This window comes from Homo sapiens, chromosome 12, assembly GCF_000001405.40.
Source record: "Homo sapiens chromosome 12, GRCh38.p14 Primary Assembly".
In the NCBI taxonomy this organism is placed as follows: Eukaryota; Metazoa; Chordata; class Mammalia; order Primates; family Hominidae; genus Homo; species Homo sapiens.
In genome coordinates this window covers 114,086,662-114,110,869 of record NC_000012.12, presented here as the reverse complement: position 1 = coordinate 114,110,869, position 24,208 = coordinate 114,086,662, and the positions used below count along the sequence as shown (strand labels likewise).

At 43.1% G+C, this 24,208-nt stretch overlaps 1 long non-coding RNA gene and 2 pseudogenes across 4 annotated transcripts in view; all 3 read right to left on the bottom strand.

Annotated features, from left to right (window-relative positions):
- Positions 1-24,208, bottom strand: part of LOC105369995 (uncharacterized) — a 36,373-nt gene that overhangs the window by 2,621 nt on the left and 9,544 nt on the right. The window contains exons 3-4 of one of the 4 annotated variants that reach the window (NR_188422.1): positions 3,471-3,560; positions 346-449 (exon numbers count right to left, since the gene is read on the bottom strand). The exons of 1 other annotated variant lie outside the window; for it this stretch is intronic. This is a non-coding gene — a long non-coding RNA (uncharacterized LOC105369995). The remainder of the gene's footprint in view (positions 1-345; positions 450-3,470; positions 3,561-24,208) is intronic. 2 more of the 4 variants (NR_188424.1, NR_188423.1) reach the window with 2 other exon arrangements.
- On the bottom strand, positions 4,948-5,936 carry GLULP5 (glutamate-ammonia ligase pseudogene 5; annotated as a pseudogene).
- Positions 12,647-13,218, bottom strand: HAUS8P1 (HAUS augmin like complex subunit 8 pseudogene 1; annotated as a pseudogene).

Genomic DNA, 24,208 nt, shown 5'->3' with positions numbered 1-24,208 from the left:
TTTTCAGCAATTGATGGGAAGTGTCCAGTTTCTCACTTCATGGTCATCACTAACTCCATCTGCATGACAGCTTGGGCTGCCTTGTAAATCTCTCCCATCAAAACGTCCCCATCACTAAAGGTGCTGAATACCACCTGTGAACTTGCCTTTCTCCATATGTTCTGACAATCAGTCCCACAGGGAGAGTGTAGTATAGATAGCATTTTCTTTTGAGTGGTGTCATGTCCAAGCACTTCTACAGGTCTAGAAGGTAGGACCTTAATATTTACACTAGCCCCTTCCATGCTTCTGTCACATTCTTATGACCGACTAATCCAGAATGTGCATTAACTAAAGATGACTAACCTGGACTTTTCAAAGTTACTGGTGGTTCTTGACTTCTTGGTAACATCCCTCACGGGGAGTGGGTGTTTCTTAAGGCATCATCTAGAGACACAGCAGAAGCCCCACTATTGATGAAACAGAGGTTGATAACATAGTTGAACTCCTATCCTTTGGAAAGCTGGCTTTTTCCTTTGGTTATGTCTGGGATGAATCTTGATCCTATGGTTTACCTAGTATTTTACCTATTTTCTATAATATCGAAGCTACTTTTAAGTAAAATTTACTTAACCAGACTTAGATATTGTCATCTTCAAGAAGGCTGGAAGTCCTTAATCCTAGCCAAACATGGCTTCAGGAAAGACTAATGCCAAAGTATATGCTTGGCATGAATATGGATATCTGTCTTAAGGAGGGCAGGGCTCCAATCTACATTTCCTTGGGCATCCTTTGCATGCTATTCCTCAGCAAGTCATCCCTCACATTGACTCCAGAATCTATCTGCATGTGCAGACTTGGTATAAGCTTCCATCCAGGCTTCATTGGGCAGGCCCCTTGATGGTATCAGCACTGTCCTGGGTTGCAGCTTTCCCCTCCCATTGAGTTAGGGGAATGCTCTGTCACTGCCATGGGGTCACTTGTACTAGAATTCTAATAGTGAATGTCAAAGTGAACAAATTTGGTGTCAACTTCCCTGATATTGACTCAGTGTCAAGCACAAGGGCCTCCAATTGGCCTATGGATATCCTTTTAGCCAAAATGAAAACAAAAGCATTCAGATCTTCTCAAGGTGAGATTTCAGTAGAATAAGTTCTGCAACTCCCTAGAAATTCTTCTCCTTGAACCAAGGAATGAAACAGCTGTCTGCAGTCCCCTAGAATGTTTACCTTTCCTGTAGTCCCTGAATCTATGTAAACCAAAACTGTCCTGGCCTTTCAGGTGGCCTGGAAGCTTTGTTTAAACTTAAGTCCTCAGACATGTCAAACTAGACAGTAGCTCTAACTTTCAAATGCCCACAGCCAGCAATTACCATTCGTGGCTAGTCTTGTTTCATATGTGCCCCCATCTACTTTCCCTGAGTCATTTGAAGCCAATGTTAGCCCTCAACCTACTCAGATATCTCTAAAGGGTTTTTAGCCATCATGTAATACTTCAATACCTAAAAAGAAGCTTAACCAGTTTATCACTAGATATAACCCATCAGTTTCCAAACTTCAGATTCCAAGTGTCATACATGTCTTGACTTTTTATTTGAATCCTGATTCAAATCAAGTCAAATCCTGATTCAAATAACCTTAAAACATAGTTGGTTGTTACCTGTTTTTCCTCATGCTACCTTATCTAGTAAGTTGCTATGTCTTAAACTGCAGGTTTCTTTTTCTTCCCATCACATACTTCTCAAAAAGGTGGCTGGCTGTTCCACAGATTTGTCCCACTTTGTATATCTTATTGCATGCCCATGCTATCATTTACGTTTATTCTACTTAACCTTTCATTTACACTTGCAGAATAAACAGGTATATCTTTTCTCTAACTTTCCTTCTGAGAGTGCCTTTATCCTGGGTCCTGGAGCAGGAGCCACTATGGGGGGTATCAAGTCAGAACCCAGAGAAGGTAAAGTTGCTTATTCTCCCATGTCTGTGTGGCACTGAGCATCAGGCTTAGGATAAGGACCCATCAGTCACTGGGGCCAACTCTGAACAGATTTGACCTTGTTGAAGATGCTGCAGTGGCAACTGAATCTGGTTGTAGCCTCACCTGAGTGCCCTCGTGGCTACTTCTATGAGGTTCCTTCTCTATGGACTCTTATCACTAAATCGGATTTCTGGACGTTGACAGCATAAATGTTGTCCTTAGTTTGGGGAGTGAGGGACTGCATGTGGGTAACTTCTACAGAAATCTCTTTCCCTTGTTGCTGGGTTGGTCTGGTTACCTGAAAGGTTTTAGGTGAACCAATAACTATCTCCGTGGAGACCTATATCATGTAACGCAGGCCATCTTGAGCCACATACTGACTTAACCTCTCGGGCCACTACTGTAGGACTTCAGAACTTTTGCCTTTTCTTGAAGGCAATGTCTTGCAGACCTTTGGACTGAAGGGTTCACAAGAAACTTGGTGAAGGATTAAACCAAGAATTCTTGCTGTGTCTTAAGCCTTTCTAGAGGCATTGCTGAACTACTCTTAAGTTTCTTCCTGAATGACTTTCTTACCCATCTCTAACATGGCGAGGGATTACTTTGAGGACATACATTGGCAATCTCTACATCTGCCTGTCTGTTGGTCTCAACGAACATAGCTGACGCCATCTCTCCAAACACCTTGTTGACTCATGGGGAGGCAGACTAGTTGGCTATGGGGATTATAGAACTAGAAACCTAACACTTCAAGCAGTCTTGTCTTATGGTCCTAGAGCTACATGAAGGGAGACAGAATTATTCTTTTAGCTTAAGTATCATAAAGGCCCAGTTTTCCTAAAGTGCTCAGTGTAATTTCCTAAACACGAATTAGGGTTGGTCTTATAGAAGGATCCAAGGAAACTTTGGAAGGTCCACTTGGCCCAGTGATGGAGGAAGGCAAAAGTCTAAAACAACTGCATGAGCCACATTTTGATTTCTTCTGTCCTTTGAAATACTTTGAACTCCAGTCTTCTTACAGGATGCGTCTGGGGATACACTTTCTATCATAATGAGAATGTAGCTCACATATTGGATAAAGTAGTATTCCCTGATGTGGTTAGAAATCTTGCAATGAAATTAAAAGCATGTTTTCCTAAATTAAGAAACTCAAGTAGCATCCTAGAAAGCAATATGCCAATAGAAGGGTTGCTATCACTTACTTTTTTCAGGTCTGCTTTAATAACCAGTGCCATCAGAAAATAACCAGTCTTTACTCCCTTGTCAGTAACATGTTCAAGTCGAACATTTCTAAACTTTTTTTGTATACAAGTACAGGTGTCTTTTACACTACAGCCATGGGGCTCAGGTGGCTGCTATAGATATGACCAGTGTCTACCTCTCCAGAATAAGCAGGGCACAGGAAACCCTTAAGTGGTAATGAGGGAATAGCAGACCCAAATAGCCAACTTTTAAGGACCACCTTCCGGATCCTCACTCAAAAGGAGATCCTTATGTCTAACCAGATTACTCACCTCAATCCTGGCTCTCGGTGAGTAGGATGGTTTTCTCTAGAAAAGCACATTGCTATGTGTGGATGACCTGTTTTTATACTTAATAAAAACCTAAACGAAAAACCAACCAATAAGATTTTTTTAGGATAGAGATCAACCAGCTTATACTCTGAACTTTGCCTTCAGGCAAGGACATTGATAGGACTTTTTAGACCTCAGAAGCATTTTAGACCTTAGAAGCAGGCCTCAAAACAATCTCATTCTCCTACTGCCTTTTCATTGCCTTTCTCTCCCCACGGCAGGAATCTTCCCCTGCCTTCCTGTCTTGGAGCTAGCGATAAAAGGAATTATCAGACCTTATTGTCTGATTTCTAGGCCACAAGACCCCATCTGAGAAAAGGGGTCCTGCCCCACACTTTGGAGGGAAGGAATGCTACAGAGATGTTGGGAAGAATTGGAAGAGTTAGGCCTTGCTGAGTTTCCCTGTTCAGATAATCTTTATCCAATCACATTTCTACATGGTTGTCAGTCACAGCCATCTCATGTCTCCATGAAAGGTCCAAGAGGACCAGATCTGGGGAGCTTTTAGACAGCTGAACATGTGGAGTTCCCTGGAAGGTGGCCCAGGGAAGGCATGGCAGCTTCATACCTCTTCTGCCATATTTAGCCTATGTGTGTCTGTTTCCTTTGTAATCTTTATAAAACAAACATAAGTTTTGCTGAGTTCCCCAAGCTGCTCTACCAAATTCACTGAATCCAATTCATGGTAGATCCCAATTGAATGCTAATCAGGAGTTCTGAAGGCCCAGACTTCTGCCTGGTGGGGAGAGGGGGGCAGTCCTGTGGGATTGAGCTTTCAATCTGGATGGGATGCTAACTCCAGGTGGATAGTGTCAATTTAAATTGGATCCTCAGCTGATATCCACTGCAGGACTGACTACTTGTTGGAGAAACCCCTACACTCTTGGTTACAGAAGTCTTCTGGGATAAGTATTGAATAGAAGTGTTTTCCCCAACAGAGGCACTTAGACTCAAGCATGGGAAACAGTAAGAGACCAAGGACATTTTCTTCAATCTCTAGTTCTCCTTTTCCTTTAACCAACTTTCTACTTTAACCAACTTTCCAAGATAAATCCTAACCTAACCATCAGACCTTCCCCTTTCATCAATCTTAAAGAAAAATCCTCCAGATATACTTCTCTGGATAGCTACATCTGTTGGGCAAACATACCTGATTCCATGGAATCAGGGGTCACTTTTTTTCACCCCCATCACTAAAAATCACTAGAAAGCTTCAGTGATTAGAGGAAAAAGTGAACATTACATTAAAACATGTTCTCTCCATCCTGGCCAGCTAAAGCAGGAGTTAATAACTGGGTATGAAAAACAGACCTTGACGTTCTACCTTTTACCTAACAGCTACTAGGACAATGGGAGAGTTGAGAGTAGGATGAAGTGGGAAGACTTTGAAAGGTAAGGTGTGGTCCACTCAGCTTCCGTATTGGAAGAGTTCAATGCTGGCATCATTGATGTGTAAATGAGGGCTTCTGTCACTGAAGAGCTCACAGATGTGACCACAGATGGTCTTCAGTTAACATTCTCCTGGTCAATGGCCCAGGGAAGGGGGACGCAGGCCCCATGGGTGACCATGCCAGCAGGGAAGTTAATGGCTGCGGGTTTTGTGAATCTGGCTAGGCATTTGGTATTGTCCAGGACCACCTTGGGATCATAAACCTGAATCTGGCCACTGATATCAGTGGCTTAGTCTTTCAATGGCTGCCTCAATGTACTTCAACCTTCTCTTGCATGGCCTTGGTGCTGAAGTTGGGATGACCTCCTGCACTATTCTAGTTACCAAGAATAACCACCTTTGATCCTAATCTATTGCTCCAAAGTCTTCACACAATGCAAGATGAAATGGACTACCCTGAGAGGATCTCACTATGTAATTGTTCCACATTTCTCTATCAAATTCCCACTGGGCTTTCATGACCTTGGCATGCATCCTCATGCCCATATATAAATAGACTTGGTAGTGAGCCTCCTTGATATTCTTGTGGTAGTACGTCTACTTTTGCACTGCAGCAATATGAACCTTGGGACCCAGGGAATTCATTGGAAGGCAAACTGAAGGGATGCCCATCTGCTATAAGAAATATATTCCTGTTGCATTCCAAATCAGGGATGCTGGTTGTTCACCATGTCTTTACCTATTTACAGGCGTGTCTTAAACTGACCTTTCATAGGTTTTGGGGTATACTTAGACTTCACAGAACACCAGCTGGCTAGGGTCCTTGTAGGAAGAGTCCCAAAATGGCAGCAGGGATGAGATGTCACTGTTACAGGCTTCAGATTGAAAAGCACTAGAGCCATCAACTCCACTCACTGTACACACTTGGGCCTGCTGTCCTGGGGGTGGACCTCATAGCATGATCCTCTTCTGATGCCATCAATCCAAACATACATGGCTTGGACTTTCCCACTGTCTTAGTCCATTTTGGCTGCTATAACAGGATGTTTCAGACCGGGTGACTTAGGACAACTTCTCATACAGTTCTGAAGGCTAGGAAATCCGATGCTAAGGAATCAGATTCAATTGTATAAGGGCTGCTCTGATTCCAAGATGGTGCCTTGTTGCTGTGTCCTCACTCAGTGGACAGAGCAAAAGAGCCAAATCTTCTATGAAGCCCCACTCATGAGGGCCTGAGCCCCCACTGCCAAATTGCCTGTTAAAGTCTTCACCCTTAATACTATCACACACTGTCTTTAAGTTTCAATACCCAAATCTTAAAGGGGACACAAACCACAGCACCCACCCTGAATCAGGAACTTGTTTCTTGTTTGACCCCTCTGTTCAAGTGGGAACTTGAGGTGGCCATGGTGGAAGGTGTTCTAGATGGCAAAAGTGAGAAGCAGCCTGGTATGCTCCTCAGTACTCTACTTCCCTCCCATCTTTAGCTCTAGAAGGGCCACTATCTAATGAAGCTGCCTTCTACCATGTCTCATCTAAGTGCCTTTCTCAAAAGCAAGGTTCATTTGGGAGTATTCCTGTGTCTAGAGCAGACAGGTAAAGTCTAGGGCAGTACCTACTTTTCACTGATTGGCAGGAAGGGTCTGGTCTTGTTACTACTTGATCACCAGCTCTGAGACAGCTGTTCTTTAGGGCACCTATATTGAGGAGTGTCATGCTCATTAGGAGACACAATAGACTCATGGGGAAAGGTAACCTTCAGGTTGTATGAGGTTTATGAGGGGGTGTTAGGTCAACTGTGGCATCTGCTTGCAGGTGGGGGTCTCCACCTTGGTCCCTTCTAAGGCTTGAGGCTACATGTATGGATTGGAAAGCAGGATCTTAAAGGAGACTGATAAAATACTCCCCCTACACGGTTTTTTCTAAGACTTAAGTTTTTGAAGAATCCAAAGGCATATCAACTTGACTTACTGAAATTGTCTCCTTGTTTTGTTTGAGTTTATCCAACACCTATATAGTACTCCTATCAGAGGGCCTTTCTAGAAGCAATGCATCAGGTTATCTTGTCATAAGTTATACCAAATTTTGTTAGGGAGGAACACTTTCAAGCCGGCTGTGCTCTCAATGTTTCTCTTCAAGCACTTTTCTCATAATTTTATTCACCTTAGACTACCATTTTTTGAAGCTGTCCTGGTTCCTTTATATAAGAGAATAACTTTTGGAAATGAGGACCTTAATGCTAAATATAATAGAAAGCTCTATAATTCTGTTCAAAATGCACATTGTCAATAGCAGAAAACCAGAAATACATGAAAAAGGTAGTTCTTAGCTATGGTGAAGGAAACCTGCATCAAGTCTTTCCAATCTTTGTAATCTTCAGTTCCAAGTATCACATCAAATATTGTTGGCTGATGGAAAGGGATCTGGCTGTCATTAGGCTGACAGAAGTCTTAGGACCTGGAGAAGATGCCAGCTCCAAGATACGTTTGTGGTAATCATGACAAGGTGACAAATTCCAGGAATATGATCAGGTATTCCTTCTGCAGCCTCCTGGAATGGTCCAGGAATTTTCCCAGCATTCATTTAAGCTGAGTAATCCTGAGCAGAGAACTCCATCCTGCAGTGTTTTGGCTTCCAATTCCAGCCTCAAATGTCACCTAAAGTGATAAGGCAAAAGACCAAGCCATACTAGCTCTGGCTATTACAAATCTGGAAGTTATGAACACAGAACAATTGTTCATTCCCAGCTAAACCCTCTTATGTCATGGTCTCTGTAGCCCAGGTCTGGAACTAGGTCTTTGCTACCCAAACTTCATGGTTTATCCTGAGAAGAACCATTCCTGTCAAAAGGATCAGGCTGAGAATGAGTAAGAATGCTTTGTAATTCTGCAATGCCTCAAATCCACTGCCCAGTATGGTGAGAAGTACTTCCCTATGTTTCTTTTCCCCTAGAGGGATAGGCTAAATGAAGCACATGACATTATCAGTCCTCTCTTCCAAAATACAGCTGTAGGTTCCTTGACTTAGGATCCAGTGTCTTCTTTGGGAGGGTCAATCCATCTAAAGTCTTAAACTTGCCCAATTATTTCTCTACTTTCTACTCTTGTTCACTTTGACCACCTGTGGTTTTGCTTAAACTTAGGTCTAGAAACTATCTTGATTTTGGGTCAGAGTTACGGAATCAAATACTAGTTCATTCAAAATGTGTGTGGCTCATTGCATCTGTTGCTTCAGTATTGGCCACTGGGCATCTGATACCCCAATTGGACCTCAGGGAAAATCTGTGAACTGGGCTGAGGGAGCAGTCCTTGACTGTCAAGTCTACCAAAATCTAAGACTGACTTAAACCCAAAGCAGTGGTCAGTCTCTTGGTGAGCCTGTAAAGTTCTTCGAAGGTCTATAGACAACAGGGATATGTGAGGAAGGTGCCTATGAGAACAGATTGTCTCCAACATTGCCAGTGGGAAACACATGCCCTTTACCTGCCTAGGCACTTGTCCTTTTCACTGGGGACAGATTGTAAAACCTGGGAACTTCAATTCTGGAAACTTCTCAGAGGTCTTCAGTGTGACCTCTTGAGACAGTTACCAATAACTTTTTATTAAAGTCGGTGTTGGCTCCATTCTGGAACAATTCAACTTATTATGTCATTGTCCTTAGAATTTTGCTGTCTGCTTTTGACTAGATTATCATAAAAGCAAAGAATGACAGTCTTACCTGCAAAACAAACAAAAAAACTAGTCTCACAGTTTCCAATTGGTGGAAGACAGTACCTATAAGGAGGGTTATTGGCCATGTGGACAGGGAGTCTGATCATATGGAGCTTTGAGCAAGTCAGGATGTTATCTGAGAACCCTTTGGAAGCCACTGGAAACCAGGAACTTGTTTGGTGTTGAAAGTCTGACTTGTGGAAACTCACGTTGTTTTTTTTTTTCTTTATTATACTTTAAGTTCTGGGATACATGTGCAGAAAGCGCAGGTTTGTTACATAGGTATACACATGCCATGGTGGTTTGCTGCACCCAAAAACCCATTACCTACATTAGGTATTTCTCCTAATGCTATCCCTTCCCTAGTCCCCCACCCTCCCCAACAGGCCCTGGTGTGTGATGTTCCCCTCCCTGTGTCCATGTATTTTCATTGTTCAATTCCCACTTATGCGTGAGAACATGTGGTGCTTGGCTTTCTGTTCCTGTGTTAGTTTGCTGAGAATGATGGCTTCCAGATTCATCCATGTCCCTGCAAAGGACATGAACTCGTCATTTTTATGGCTATATAGTATTCCATGGTGTACATGTGCCACATTTTCTTTATCCAGTCTATCATTGATGGGCATTTGGGTTGGTTCCAAGTCTTTGCTATTGTGAACAGTGCTGCAATAAACATACATGTGCATGTGTTTTTATAGAATAATTTATAATCCTTTGGGTATATACCAAGTAATGGGGTTGCTGGGTCAAATGGTATTTCTGGTTCTAGATCCTTGAGGAATCGCCACACTGTCTTCCACAATGGTTGAACTAACTTACAGTCCCACCAACAGTGTAAAAGCATTCCTATTTCTCCACATCCTCTCCAGCATCTGTTTCCTGACTTTTAAATGATTGCCATTCTAACTGGTGTGAGATGGAATATCCTTGTGGTTTTGATTGGCATTTCTCTAATGACCAATGATGAGCTTTTTTTCATGTTTGACCACATAAATGTCATCTTTAGAGAAGTATCTGTTCATATCCTTTGCCCTGTTTTTGATGGGGTTGTTTTTCCTGTAAATTTGAGTTCCTTGTAGGTTCTGGATATTAGCCCTTTGTCAGATTAAAGACTTAAACATAAGACCTAAAAACCATAAAAACTCTAGAAGAAAACCTAGGCAATACTATTCAGGACATAGGCATGGGCAAAGACTTCATGACTAAAATGCCAAAAGCAATGGCAACGAAAGCCAAAATTGACAAATGGGATCTAATTAAACAGCTTCTGCACAGCAAAATAAACTATCATCAGAGTGAACAGGCAACCTACAGAATGGGAGAACATTTTTGCAATCTATCCATCTGACAAAGGAACTCATGTTTAACAGCTCAGCTCTAAGAACACTCAGGCTTATATAAAAACCATATGCTAGAGGTTTTTGCCCTTAATAGTCACTAGTAGCTGAGACCCAGCAAGAGATTAGGGCTCTCAGGCTGGTTTCAGAAGAGGGTTTTTTTCAGAGAGCTGGACTTTGAATACAGACTTTGTTGATAGCAGGTAAATTTTCAGGGCATCCTCCATTTACCTAATAAATGACTTTCTGGCACTTAAAGCCAGGAAATTCACAGAAGGGTATTAACGGGCAAAGCCAGCTGGCACCTATATGTTGTTCCCAACTGGGGTAAGGACTTGAAAAGGCCACATCTTAGCCCAAATTAATCCGGGCTCCATGCTGGGACTGCTGCTTCCCAAGAAGGGGAAAAAGATCAAGTTTTCAGGAGATGTCAACCTAGACTATCTGCCTGGTCTTCACAATATTAAAGGTATTCTGAAAGACTAGAAAGGACTGCTAATACTATAACTGGATCCAAATCAAGACTTATTCATATTCTCACTGCAAATAATCTGATAGAATCATGGAAGAACTTTCTATTACTCAAAAAATAAATGCTTACTATAGATCTGTTCTAGATGCTTCCCGTGCTCTTAAGCTATAAACTGGCTGGTATGAAAATCCCCCTTCCTGCTTCTAGAAACTTAAGCTTAGGGCTTAGAATCTAGTAAGTGTCACATGACACATGTGAAAGAACCAGGATTTGCATGCACCTGAGTTCAGCTTCCAAGGCCTGTTCACTACTCTTGACTGAGATTTCCCTGACTAATAGGAATCTTGAAACCAGAAAGAAGTTTTTATACTGAAATCATGTTCTAGTGGCTATAGGCTTATGCCTACTTATTTCAGCAGCTGCAGAAAACAATTTTCATGATTCTGGGATTTTGTTTGTGGTATCTCCAAACACAAACTCTCTTGGAGAGACCCTCCTAATGATAGGGATGGGGGCAGAGAAATTCTGGGCAGAAAAGGGGTAGGTCCACAACAAAACTCCACCTGCAAGCTGAAAGGCCTGAAACTATGGCCCAAAGTGAGAAATTTTATCTTTGTTTTCCAGCTTGAATGTTGCCTTTTCCTAAACTACCCATGACCTGCCCTGCCCTCATCCTGTGCCTATAAAGATCCCAGACTCAGCTGGCAGAGAGAAGTAGCTGGACATCAGGGACTATGGCCAGACATCAGAAGTGGCTTGGCTTCAGAGGAATAGCTTGATGGCATAGCTTCAGAGAAGAATCCAGCCAGAGACAGCCAGACTCCAGGGGAAGATTACCAACCCACCCTACCCTTTTTCAGCTCCCCTTAGGGCTGAGAGCCACTTTCATTGGCAATAAAATCCCCTGCATTTACCATCCATCAATTCACTCATGCAACCTCATTTTTTCTGGAAGTCAGATGAGCTCAGGAGCCACCAGTGTGGATACAAAAAGCTGTCAGCTGGCCCTTTGCCCTCTCTGGCAGAGGGCAGCTGCCTTATGTGAAAGAGTGGAGGGCCCATTGAGCTGTTAAGACCATCCATAGACAGCAGAGCTAAAAGAGCACTGTGACACACCTCCTGGGGCTTCAGAAGTCACAGGCACCCTGCCTAGATGCTGCCGGGGGCTTGAGCAAAGTTCGCTCCTGCCAGCGCTCAAAAGTGCTCGCTCTGGCTCCTGCACTCACTCACCTGCCCTCCCCCTCCCATGAGGGGTGGAATGCAGCAGTGAGTCTGAGTGAGTGGAGTGTGATCCTGCCCGCAACAAGGCTGCCAATCAATTCCAGTGCTCATGCACTCCAGTCCCCACCTTGTTCACTTGCATGCTCCTTCCTTCGAGGAGTTGAGAGTGGCAGGCTGAGTAAACAAGGCATCCCTGTCATGAGTCCCACGAAGGGGTCAGGGAAGTATCCTACTTCAATAACTGTGATCTAGGGAGGAATGTCCTCATAGTCACTCTAAGCAATGGTAGACCCAGCCTTGAGTTCGAATTACTGATGAGAACTTAACACTCATGGAGCCAATTTGATAGGCAAGGCTCTATCAAATCCTAACACAAGTGTCTCACCTATGTGTTAGGAGTTGAAAAGAAATTGGTGGTTGAGTCAAAAACCTGAGTCTCATTCAAAGCTTTCCATTATCACTTATCCTTTTACCTTTAGTTTCAACAGTCACTTCAATACAAAACAGACAAAAGAAGCATACAAATGTGGCAAAACAACCAAAAGCTATCACAACAGCTGGAAATCTGGCTATATTTTGGCACCCAAGCTGCTTAAGTGTCCTGTGTCTCCGTAAGCCTGCTGCAGTTCTTGGTATCATTCTTAGATCCACCGAACCTTGTCCAAGTCATCTTCTGACAAACACCCTGACCTTGCCTACTCGACTGTGCTGTCACTCCTGTTTGGTAACTGTATATATAAAATCTTCATTGGAAAACTTCAAAAATCACTTAAGCTGTCAATCCAGCAACATCATTTGGGATCTGGGAGGACTGTGTTGCGTTCTGCTTCAGATTAATTCAATGGAGAGCTCTGCAGGGGAAGTCTTACCTGTGGATTTCGGGGAGTGATGTTCTATTGCAACAGTCTCAAGCAAAATTTAGATGACCTGTGAGAACTCTTAGAAACAACCAAACTCAAGGGCAGCTGAACTTGCTTTGGGAAGATACCTAAGAATCGCTGCCCATCTTCCTCCAGGTGGCTCAGTCTCACAGGCAGCTCATGCCTGGTGTCCAGGGCCATGGCAAACATGTTGTATTATTCCTTAAAGCATTCAGCTACTTCCTCAAAGGGGCTGAGCATCTCAATTTGGTGGCTGAGCTTTCTGCCAGCTCCCACTGCCTCTAGCTGAGGCCTGTGCTTCAGCTTTTTTCTGTAGCTGCTTTCTACATACTGCTCTGCCTTTGAACTAAGCAAGATTGTTCTCCTTTACAGTCAGCAGAGTCAATAGTAATATTTGGGACTCTACTTCTATCACTTTGGACAAACTTGGGCTCTCTGAGGGGCAGAAATGATGTGGACTTGGTTTTGACATTGTCTTTTCTAACTAGAGTCTTTCTGACCACACTTACCATGAATGGCCGAGCCAGGTAGAGGGAGTGGGGACTGGGCTGTGCCCTAGACTGCAGGTCAGCCTTTCTGAACCCACTGCCATCAGCTCTGCTTTCCTGGAGCAGGTTGGATTTCCTTTCACCTTCAGATACCTTCCCACTCTGTGGTGCTTTTATGTAGTGTTTCTTTTATAGGCAGAGTCTGTTGCCCAGGCTGGAATGCAATGGCATGTTTACTGTGCCTCAACCTCCCAAGCTCAAGTCACACTCACCTAAGCCTCTTGAGTAGCTGAGACTACAGGCATACACACACCTATGCCTGGCTAACTTTAGATGGTCTTTGACATATCAGGTGCAGGAGGCTTTTTGTTCTTATACTGCGAGTATCAAGACTCAACTACTCTTCCACTCTGTACTCCTTTCTTTTTTTATTATTATTATACTTTGTTTTAGGGTAATGTGCACAATGTGCACTCTGTACTCTTTTCACTTTCATTTTGGCACCACTCGGATCATTGGGACAAGCTGCAAAAGGCTTTCTACCAGCTTCCTGAGAAATACAACTTCCTGCCTGCTACTCCAAGGCTGGACCTGCTCCCTCACTTGCAGGGTTGGGCCATGTTGCAGAGCTGCAGGAGGAACAGCCACGGGCTAAATGGGTGCGTCCCCCCTACCCTAAGATGTCTTATAGAGAATGCAGTGCTGAACTTCATTCAGCTCATCTGTCTTGAATTTCAGAGACATCAGTCTTGGTCAGTGAATTCTTGTTCATCAACTCTTAAGAACTTATCTAGAATACGAATCGGAGTTGGCCTGTAGATGAGAAGCTTGGAAAGAATCTTTTGACCCAAGATGACACCAGCCCTTCCTGAATGGGGTATTCTCTTCTACTGAGTGTCCATGTAGAAGACACGGACAAGACCTAACTGCTCTTGTGCATGTGAGACTTTATCAGCAGTGTTCAGGCAAAGACAGTCATGAGTTTTCATAAAGAACTCGGAACTAGATGCTGTAACCTTTTCAACCATGAATAGGAAATCTTAACAGTTGAGTCCTCAAACAGAGGTTCTTGTTTTGTGCTATCCTACAAAATCTCAGAAGAGGTCAATGTCTCTGGGACTTATGTGGAAGCCACATGGCAAGATATGCTCTGGTTGCTTAAAATAGATTTGGATTCACACTCTGACTAATGGCTTCATGAATGCCAAAGTAGTGAGACTGTGGTCAAGATATTAAAATGACTTCCCTCACCTAAAAAAAAAAAAAAAACCATACCTTGAAATTGCCCAATATGCCTTAGTTTTTCTTAGAAACAAATAGGCTGGATATTGTGGCTCATGCCTGTGATCAGTGCTTTAAGAGGTTGAGGTGAGAGGATCACTTAAGACCAGGAATTTGAGACCAGCCTGGGCAGTGTAGTGAGACCCCATCTCTAAAAAACACACATGTTCAAAAATACCAGTGTAGGCTGTGGCTCATGCCTGTAACCCCACCACTTTGGGGGAGGCCCCACCACTTTGGGGGAGGCTGAGCCAAATGGATCACTTTGAGATTGGGAGTTCAAGACCAGCCTGGCCAACATGGCAAAACCCTATCTCTACTAAAAATACAAAAATTAGCTGGGCATGGCAGCGCATGCCTGTGATCTCAGTTGCTCACGAGGCTGAGGCAGGAGAATTGCTTGAACCCAGGAGGCAGTTTGCAGTGATCCGAGATTGTGCCACTGCACTCCAGCCTGGGCAACAGAGGTGAGACTGTCTCAAAAAAAAAAAAAAAAATCAGTGTAGATGGTAAAAAGCGCTAGTATATTCTTCTTGTGGCTAAGTACCCCTGTCATTAAAACCCAAGGCCCAGCTGAGACTTTTCCAGAGCAGGCAGGTGAGCAGGATTGGTGGCAGTACCCAGGCGTCACCAGCTGGCAGGAAGGGGAAGGGGGGCCAAGTTCCCCTTCCTAGAGTGAGAGGCTTTGAAGGAGTAGAATTCTGGCTGGAACTTCAGTTACTCAGTGGAGTCTGTATGTGCAAAATAGTTCCAGCCTTCACAGGAACCCCAAAGCCTACAGGGAAAAGCAAACCCAAATTCCAGGTACTATATAAAGTGAGTCCAGGAATACTTCCTGTCTTCAGGAGGGAGCTCAGCACCTGGATCCTCTCCATGTCCTTGGACCACTTGTTCCTGTCCAAGTCTGTAATGAAGTCAAGATTTGTGATGGGTGGTGGATCAAAATTTATTAGGAATCAACACCTGTGAAAAGGGGAAAGGAGGCTGCATTGTACAGAAGATGCCAAGCCATGATGCAGGCATGATGAAGCCTTGGCCTCCCTGTAGGAGCTCTAGAGCAAGAATTTTTCCAGTCCTGTTCCAGGGCAAGATGGTGGAGCCTCTGTGCTCTCACAGCTTCTAGTCACTGAATGCACGTGCAGCTTGGTATGTCTTTTGTGTTGTAGACATAGATATGCCACTCAATCTCCCACCTTCCTCTGAGAAACCTGTTGGGCTTCACAGGCTTTATTGGATACATCACAACCTCTGTATCCTCCATGTTCTGAACTATCCAAGACTTCTGAAGGGACCAAAGAAATCTGGGAAAGACAGCTGAAGGTGCACTTCCCGGGTCCATATAGAAGTAGTGCAATTAAGGAACAGTTCTTTCAGAAGAGACTTCTACTTGAGTTATCTCCAAATGCCTTTAGATCATTTTGGCCTTGGGAGGTAGCATTGTCTTGAAAGGAACTGGGTCAGTGACAAAAAGCTTAAATATCTTTCTATGCAGTATTACCCCAGTAATACGGTTTCTTATCACTCACATCCAGGAAGTGTATCTATAGCCACACCTCTAAAGTTCTATACTGGGAATCTCCCTTACCCTCCACAAGATGTACCTGGTAGAGTGACCCAGACCCTCATCTTTGAGCAACTCCAACCATGCCTGACAAAGACAAGGAAATCAAGGGCAAAGATTCAACGTTCTCCCTGGGTGTGAAAGTACCAAGTGGTGCCCCCAATGACTCCTGCAAGATCCAGACACCCTTTTCCATGCCCTCAGGATATAACAACTCATGCCTCATAACCAGATTTGGCTGCCCCTGCAGGTATAACTTCCTTCTCCTGCCAGTCTACTGGCAGAAACCAGGTCACTGCTATGGGTTGAATATCCTTATTCAAAATGCTTGGGAACAGAAGTATCTTCAGGTTTTTTTGGATTTGAGTATTTGCATTCACATGAGAGATCTTGGGTGGGACAAATCTAAGAACAATTTCATGTACACCATCAACTGAAGGTTACTTTATATGATATTTGTGCTCAAAACAAAGTTTATACCAAACCATCAAAAAGTAAAGGTGTCACTATCTCAGCCATCCATATGGACAACCTATAGTTTAGCATCACCGTCATTCTTGACTTTGAGTTTATATGCCACTGATAAGCGATCACTTTATTCATATGGTGTTTTAACAGTGAAAAGACATACAACTAATGCAATGAAAAGTGCTTAGGGTAACTAGGCCTAGTAGCATCACCAGAATACCTGCATCAGCTGTTAAACAGAAATCGGTCTACCTATGATGCTGTTTTTGATTAAAAGATTACACTATATTTTCTTTACATGAGAAAACATCAAGCAGTTGAAGGACCAGGAAATGGGCCCTTTAGAGATGAGATATTCGGTGAATGGGTTTTTAATGCTTCCTCCAGCATCATCTGCCTCATTTAAACTATCATTTTTATTGGTAAAATGAGACTGATACAATTTAAGAACATACTCTGCTCTAGTCCTTAAACCTATCACACACTTCTACCATGTCATCTGAAGATACTACTTCTATACTATACTTTTGCTGTTGCCACAATCACCTTAGTCAGAGCCATTTCAGCTATTTCCCTGGCAATGAACAACTTTTGAAAAGTCAACATCCGTTTCTTCCAGCCTACTAATGGACTCTGAAGCTATATCTTTTGCATATGCAAAGGTCATTTTCCCCACGAAAATCCTTCAAAGTCATTGCCTTGTTCACCACTGAACATAATTGCAGGCCAGAGATTGTATGTTCAGGCACACACTCATCACTGTTCCAAGCATTGACAACAGCATGTAAGCATTTGCTATGCTGGTTTCCTTTTGAAAACCTACACCCATGCCTCTATTAACAGCTGCTAGCATGCTGTTCAAAGTGTTCATTTACTGGTCTAAGGCTATCCTAGTCGTGTGGCTGAATTAACGCAATTGTGTTGTGAAAGTACATGGCATAAACACTTTTTAATAACTTCAGCTGGAAGATGAACAGAACAATGATCAAGGAATAGCAGTCTTGCTGTTGTCATCCAATCTAACTTCCCTGCAGTGAGTATGAGTTACTGACACAAAATGATAAACTGGGAAAGATGTCCCTAAATTATCTACACCCTTTTGTTAGCACAATAATGGACTTGTAGGAAACTCCTTAAACAGTGAGGACACAAGCTTTTGCCATTCATAACAAGTTTACACTGTCTTCATTAGCACATCCCAGCATAGTTACTGTCCTTGGCATCCTCAGTTTCTATAGGCTGTCCCATCAGCTGTAGTCTTTCTGGGGCAATAATGCTAAAACAGTATTTTGTCAGCATCATAGACTTGTCCTGGCATCAGACTTTCACCAGAAGTGACCTTGGTGGAATGACTAAGGAATTTCTTCACTGCTTCGTGATCAGATGTCTTTATTGCCACAGATGTTTGAAAGCTTACTGCCATGTCTTTTAAACTTCTGTTATCAGTCTGTTGAATATTCAGTTCCCCCTAATTTTCAATCCATGGTGATCTCTGCTTGTTTCATAATTAGCACAGCACTGAGTGACGTGTGTTCACTGCCATGCTGACAGACCTACTGTCAAACATGATTACCTTCACTTACAGCTTTATTTAATATTTTTCTACTATCCACTACTTTCAGCACGAACTTCACTAGCTTATTTTTGTTTTGTCAGGTCACATGGTGGTCATTCCATATGGTGGTCAATACTATACTCTTCTGTAAGATGCTTCACACTCTAACTGCTGTTCAGTTTCTCCAACAGCTTGGCTTTCTGTGCTATAGATAAACATAAATGCTGCCTTTTTATCACTGTTACCCACAGGGCTGTCGGTAGGACTTGACCCTTCCAACAGTATCTCTCTACCAGAGCTTAGTGCCGAGACCAGCTTGGTCGGGGAGACCCTAACCCAGCGGCACTGGAGGAATTAAAGACACACACACACACACAGAAATATAGAGGTGTGAAGTGGGAAATCAGGGGTCTCACAGCCTTCAGAGCTGACAGCCCCGAACAGAGATTTACCCAAGTATTTATTAACAGCAAACCAGTCATTAGCGTTTTTTCTATAGATACTAAATTAACTAAAAGTATCCCTTATGGGAAACGAAGGGATGGGCCAAATTAAAGGAGTAGGTTGGGTTAGTTAACTGCAGCAGGAGCATGTCCTTAAGGCACAGATCGCTCATGCTATTGTTTGTGGCTTAAGAATGCCTTTAAGTGGTTTTCTGCCTTGGGTGGGCCAGGTGTTCCTTGCCCTCATTCCCATAAACCCACAACCTTCTAGCATGGGCATTATGGCCATCATGAACATGTCACAGTGCTGCAAAGATTTTGTTTTTATGGCCAGTTTTGGGGCCAGTTTATGGCCAGATTTCAGGGGGGGCCTGCTCCCAACACTTAGAATAATCTTTGCATAGCTCTTGTCCCCAAGTAGGGCATTGTGGGAAATCTGCCATTGGTGTGCCCAGCCTGCACGCCATCTTATTTTCCTTTGTGGGCATGTTTGTATGGGGGAATCTGCATGTGCAGAAAAGATGTATCATGGCTAAAGGAGGCTTGGAGGGTGTTTTTCCCCCCTTGGAACACAAATGGTGTGCCTCTGTTTTGACTGACCTGACACATGTGGTCAGATGTAAAATTTTCAACTTGCATCATGTCAGCACTCAGTTGTGGATTGTGCAGCATTTTAGGTTGCCCAGCCTGTACGTGCTTGGTCACTTTGAATCTGACATTGAATGCTCTCAGTGTACATTAGAAATCTCTCCTACCTTACTGTAGAACCAGGACCTCTTACTTAGGAGAACCTAAGCATGTGTGGATGGGGAGCACAAATTCTGCTAGTAGCTTCCTGGAAGAGAACATAATGAGCCAGCCCAACTCACACCTGTAGTTCCTAGACCCCTAGATAACATCACATAGGAATAGAGGAATAGAGCTATAGACTCTAGTTGGAAACTTGATAGAATAGAAACATAGCTTTATATTAAACAACAAGTTGCTCTGAGCATAATGTACTATTGCAGAAAAAGTGATGGCTTCCTTGAATCATATTTTCTGTAGTTATTAGTGCTTAAGTCTCTTAATACTGAGAGCCCGTGATGTGACCAGCCTGATTTCCTGATGTTGAGGGCCAGCCTCATGAGAAGTCTGCATCTGGTTTTTGTCTTTTCCAGGCTCAAGAAGTATCTGAAAATGACCTGGCCTGCTGCCTCACCTAATCAAAGAACTGTGACAAATGTAAAAGAGAGATAGGCAGGGGGAGGTGATCATCTGATGGTTCTGGTCTGCTCTGAGGTGTTTATCTGTAACGACACCAAAACCCGGGCTGCTCAAGTATATAGGATGACCGTAGGACTGAACATGGGTTAAAAACACCTTCAAATGACCTCTATTTTATTTCCCAATTTGGTCGAAGTGGCATCCCTCCAACAAAATGTTTTATGATTCTTCGTGAGGAGCCAAGTGGTGTCAAATCTGGTTACTCTGGGATAGGTGTTAGGGATGAGCTCAATGGATGGGACCTAGGGTCAAATTCCTATGCACTCAAACTTCATGTTGGCTATGTCGTTTTATTGTGGGGGCTTTGGGCATCTGTTCTCAATGTGTCTGTGAGCCTGCTATTTAGTTGGATACAGAGCTCCAGAACTTTAATCCTGGTCTGGCTGTATTGACTAGCTTGCCCAACAACCTGTCTCACTTGAGTCCATGGCCTCTAGAATTTTCTAAAATTCCAATTAGTTAAGGTAGATATAAAAAGAAGGAACGATCAGTCTTTACAGTAAGACTGTTTGCTCCTCATTCCCTTGTTAATCAAGGTACTGGTATCTCTGAAGGCCATGTTGTAACCTACTGAATAGAACATGACCACCAAAAAGCAAAACTTAAGTATATTTAAAGCTAGAACCATCTATATATTCAAACGAATACATGAAAAAATACTATGACCATCTGAAAAATGACCCTCTGAGTTCGGAAGACAAGTCATGAGCTTGGTCATTCTGATTTTCTAAAGTTAGAGTGACTCCAGGAAGACAGTTTAAATTTTTTTTCCTGCTTTTTCACGTCAAGGGAGTGCTTTGCTCATACTTCAAGGCCCAGCTGGGCTTATTCTTATGCCAAAAATAGATTGCGAAGCAGGGCTTTATTAGCAGAACCTTACTTTCACCAGCTGCAAGAAGGGGCCCCGGTTTTCCCTTGGTGTATCATCCTCTGAAAGGCATTAGCACTGAATGGTATGCCCAGAGTCGGAGACAAGAGCTGCATCCCTATAGCCTACTGCACCCCAAACTGCCCCACAAGTTGGCAAATAGGCATCAGAGAGTCTGTAGCTAACTGTGCATGGTGGCCATTTTAGCCAAGAGGCACCCAGGCGCTCTGCAGCCTCCAAAGCTGTGGGACACACTGGCTACCTAGGTGGGCAGAAAAGCCCCCACGCTGGGTGAGATGCTATCTTGGTGCCCAGGCCCACACCTGAGGCATACAGCCGTGAGGCTGTGCCTGTACCTCCAGTCTCCCACAGTGCTGTGACTCTTGCAGTGTTCACCTAAGTACTGTGCAGTCTGAGGGACCTATGCTAGTCTCACGTGGTGCTTACACCAGCATGGATGCTGCCTAGCTGCCCCAGTCTCTGGCCTGTGCTTGGGTCAGTCATCTTAGTCCCATGAGAGAAATGTGTACCTTGAGAAACCCAAATTCCAATCTTAATGGGCTAAACTTCTCCATGGTATCTTTTTGAGCTCAATTCCCCTGAGAAAGTTTAATTTCCCCACAAACACCTTGTGGCTGACATCTAACAAGATATTTTTTGGGGGATTTCCTTTCAAATGCAGCTACAGGTCCTTCAACTTGTTCAGGCTCAACTTTCAGATGCATATTCAACCAACTCATGTATGGACTCAGCCAAATGTGGTCTTGTTAGCCTCAGGTCTAGAAAGATAATTTTGGGATTAAAGATGACTTCACAGAAAATTATATCTTCCTTTGAATTGCTGTTGATGAGAGTCATGTTGGCTCACAATAGATGCTGTCTGTAGCCACTGGGATTTATCCTAATACAGTTATAAGACTTCCAGTTACCATACAGCTTTAACCTTTTAACTGCTTAAATTGTGGCTTCCCAGTAGCCTTTGACTTACCAATCACCCTACTTAAGGTAGAGAAGCAGTGTTGGCAAAGGGGCAGAAACAAGTCTGAAACAACTAGGAAGCTATAGGTATTGTCTGAGTGTCTATGAAAAGGATATTGGCATGTGTTGTAGCACTGTCTATGCAATACTGATGCCATCTTCTGACAAGGAACATCTCATGCTAACCTTACCAAAATAAGTCTGTATATTTTCTCCCTTTTATCAAAGTTAAAATATCATTCAAAGAGACAGAAGACACATTACCTTATGTCTCCTGCTCATTCTGAACCAACTGACCAGCATGTGGGTCAATAGGTGGCCTTTGTGAGCAGCCTGGAGACTTTTCAAGGCTCTGCCAGCCATGTAAGCATGTTAGCATTCAGCCCCAGGTTCAATGTTGACTAAAATGTTTGGCTTTATCTAGAGCCTTACATGCTTGTGACAAGCGCAATTCATAATGATACGGTCTTCATGTGGCTTAAGGGGAATTGGAAAATCTTGTGCTTCCAGTCTCTGTAGCCCACTTCTGGCACTGAAGAGGGCTTTGACTTCCCAGCAGGAAGTGTATGGAATCCCTGAGACTGGGCATTTATGTGAACAGGACCAGACTACAGATGGTGGTACTCCAACTCTACTTCTGCACAGAATGGCCTTTTCCCAAGAATTCTTTGCTAAACAATTTTATAACGTGGCCATGTGAAGCTGGCATTGTCTCTTCCTAGTGCCCAGTGTAGCTTCAGATCCTTTGAATACAAGCTCTTGGGCTTTGTATGGCTGGGATCAACCACCCCAATAGAACTGCCTGAACTCACAGGGAGTGTCCACTCTCTATTAGAAATGGAGATTGTCATTTTTTTGGCACTGCCATTAATAAGACATGAATGTCTTATTTGTTGAATGAGTTCTTAACAGAAATGACAGCAGTTTTAGTGACAAGCCCAGATGAAGAGTGGTTTTGTTATCTGCAGGTGAACCACTAGAACCTCCAACCTTGGATTCAGACCACTGTTGCCTCAGATGACTTCAGAGGCTTCCCTAGACTAAGTTCTGATTGTAGTGGCTCTCTATAGTTCCAGTTTGCCATTTGTTTTCATTCCCTTCCTTTCCATGGCTTCTGTTAGTTTCTGAAATTCTAGGTTGATCTAAAGTATCCTGAAAGCAGAAATTTCTGTCATTGTTGCTGGTAGGATTCCATCTTTCAGTCTCTTGTATGATACTGTTTACATAGAGCAGCTTCCCTGGAAGAAATAGCTGTTTTCCTTGAACAGATATTGCTTTTATCAGAGCTTGTGATCAGTCAGAAAAACCTTTAGATGCTTGCTTCTATCGAAATGGCTTTAGGCATTATCTCTAAAGATCAGATTAACCTCTTATAACCAGGAACTTTACCCAGAACAATGTTAGTTACTAAAATATGTTCTTAGACCCTGTTTGCATATTCTAGGCCATTGACCTTATTTCAGAATTATAAGCCTAAAGGAAAAACCCTTCATAATTTAAGGAGAAAATGACAACTGTCCTTCTGCTAACCACTCTGCTTTTAAATCACTTGGTTTCACTTTCGTATGGATTTTTGAATCACAGATAAGAATTTCTCAGGCAGTAAACCATTCTAAGCCAGGGGATTTGGGAGTCTTGGGTTTTGAGGTGGGCATCACTAGGACCTTATTGGTCTGGGTTCATTCCCTAAGAACCTGGAGAGACAGGTATATAGCAATTTGGAGGGACACTGGTAACGAGAGTCTGCTAGGTTGTACAGGTCTCAGATTTGTGGGCCTATCACTGCCTGGTAGTCTGTTGCTTGCATGAAAAGACCAAAGACCATCAGATTGATCCAAAGACTGAGCCTATAGACCTGAAATGTATCCAACAGCTGAGAATCTAATCAAGGAGTTAAGTTTATCCTTTACACCTGAGTCTGAGCCATTTGATAAATACCTACCAAAAACCTGCCCATCTTTATCCCACCATTCTTTCAGCAAGTACATAACAGTAATACTGCAGTGATAGTGACCACTGGTCAGACTAGAAATTCTTAATGACCAACAGCTACCCCCATGAAGGATTTTTCAAAACACTTGAGACAAGTATAGGCTTCTCCTGACCAAAATGGAATTACAGGGTTAGATTTATCTTCCTGCCTGAAACAACTAAAAACTGATAAAACATATCAAGAGTCTGAAAACTGTCTTCTATCAAGAGCACAAGACTGATGCCTAAGAGGGGAAATAGACAAGGTGACCCTGTAACTTGCCCAGTTTAGTGGCTGGAGAGTATCTAGAATGCAGCCCAGGCACAGGCAACACAGCCTAGCAATCTCCATGAGTTGAATTCTGGCCGGCCCAGGTAGCTAGAATTAGCAGGGCAGAATGCTGGAGGAGACAGCCACACACAGAACACCCCAGAGACCCATGGAGGGTCCTCCTTGAATCTTCAGCTGAATGCTGAGCTCCAGATGCATGTGAAGAAACTACCTTAGGCCAGGGAAGAACCACCCAAAGGGGACTTAAAGGAAATGATCCTTGGAACTCACATAGCACTTGAAATAATTTTATTCTTAGCAACCAGAATAGAAACCTAACTCATGGGATATAGGACAAAGTACTCAAAGGTGTTGCCTCAGTAATGGAATAAGTCCTGCCCTAGAGGCTATCCTAATCCTGATGAAGCCTAAAAAAGCAAGGCTCAAAAGGATCTAGCTGACCAAGTAACTATCTTAGAATAAGGTATAAGAATAATTCTAGAAATACAAAAATATC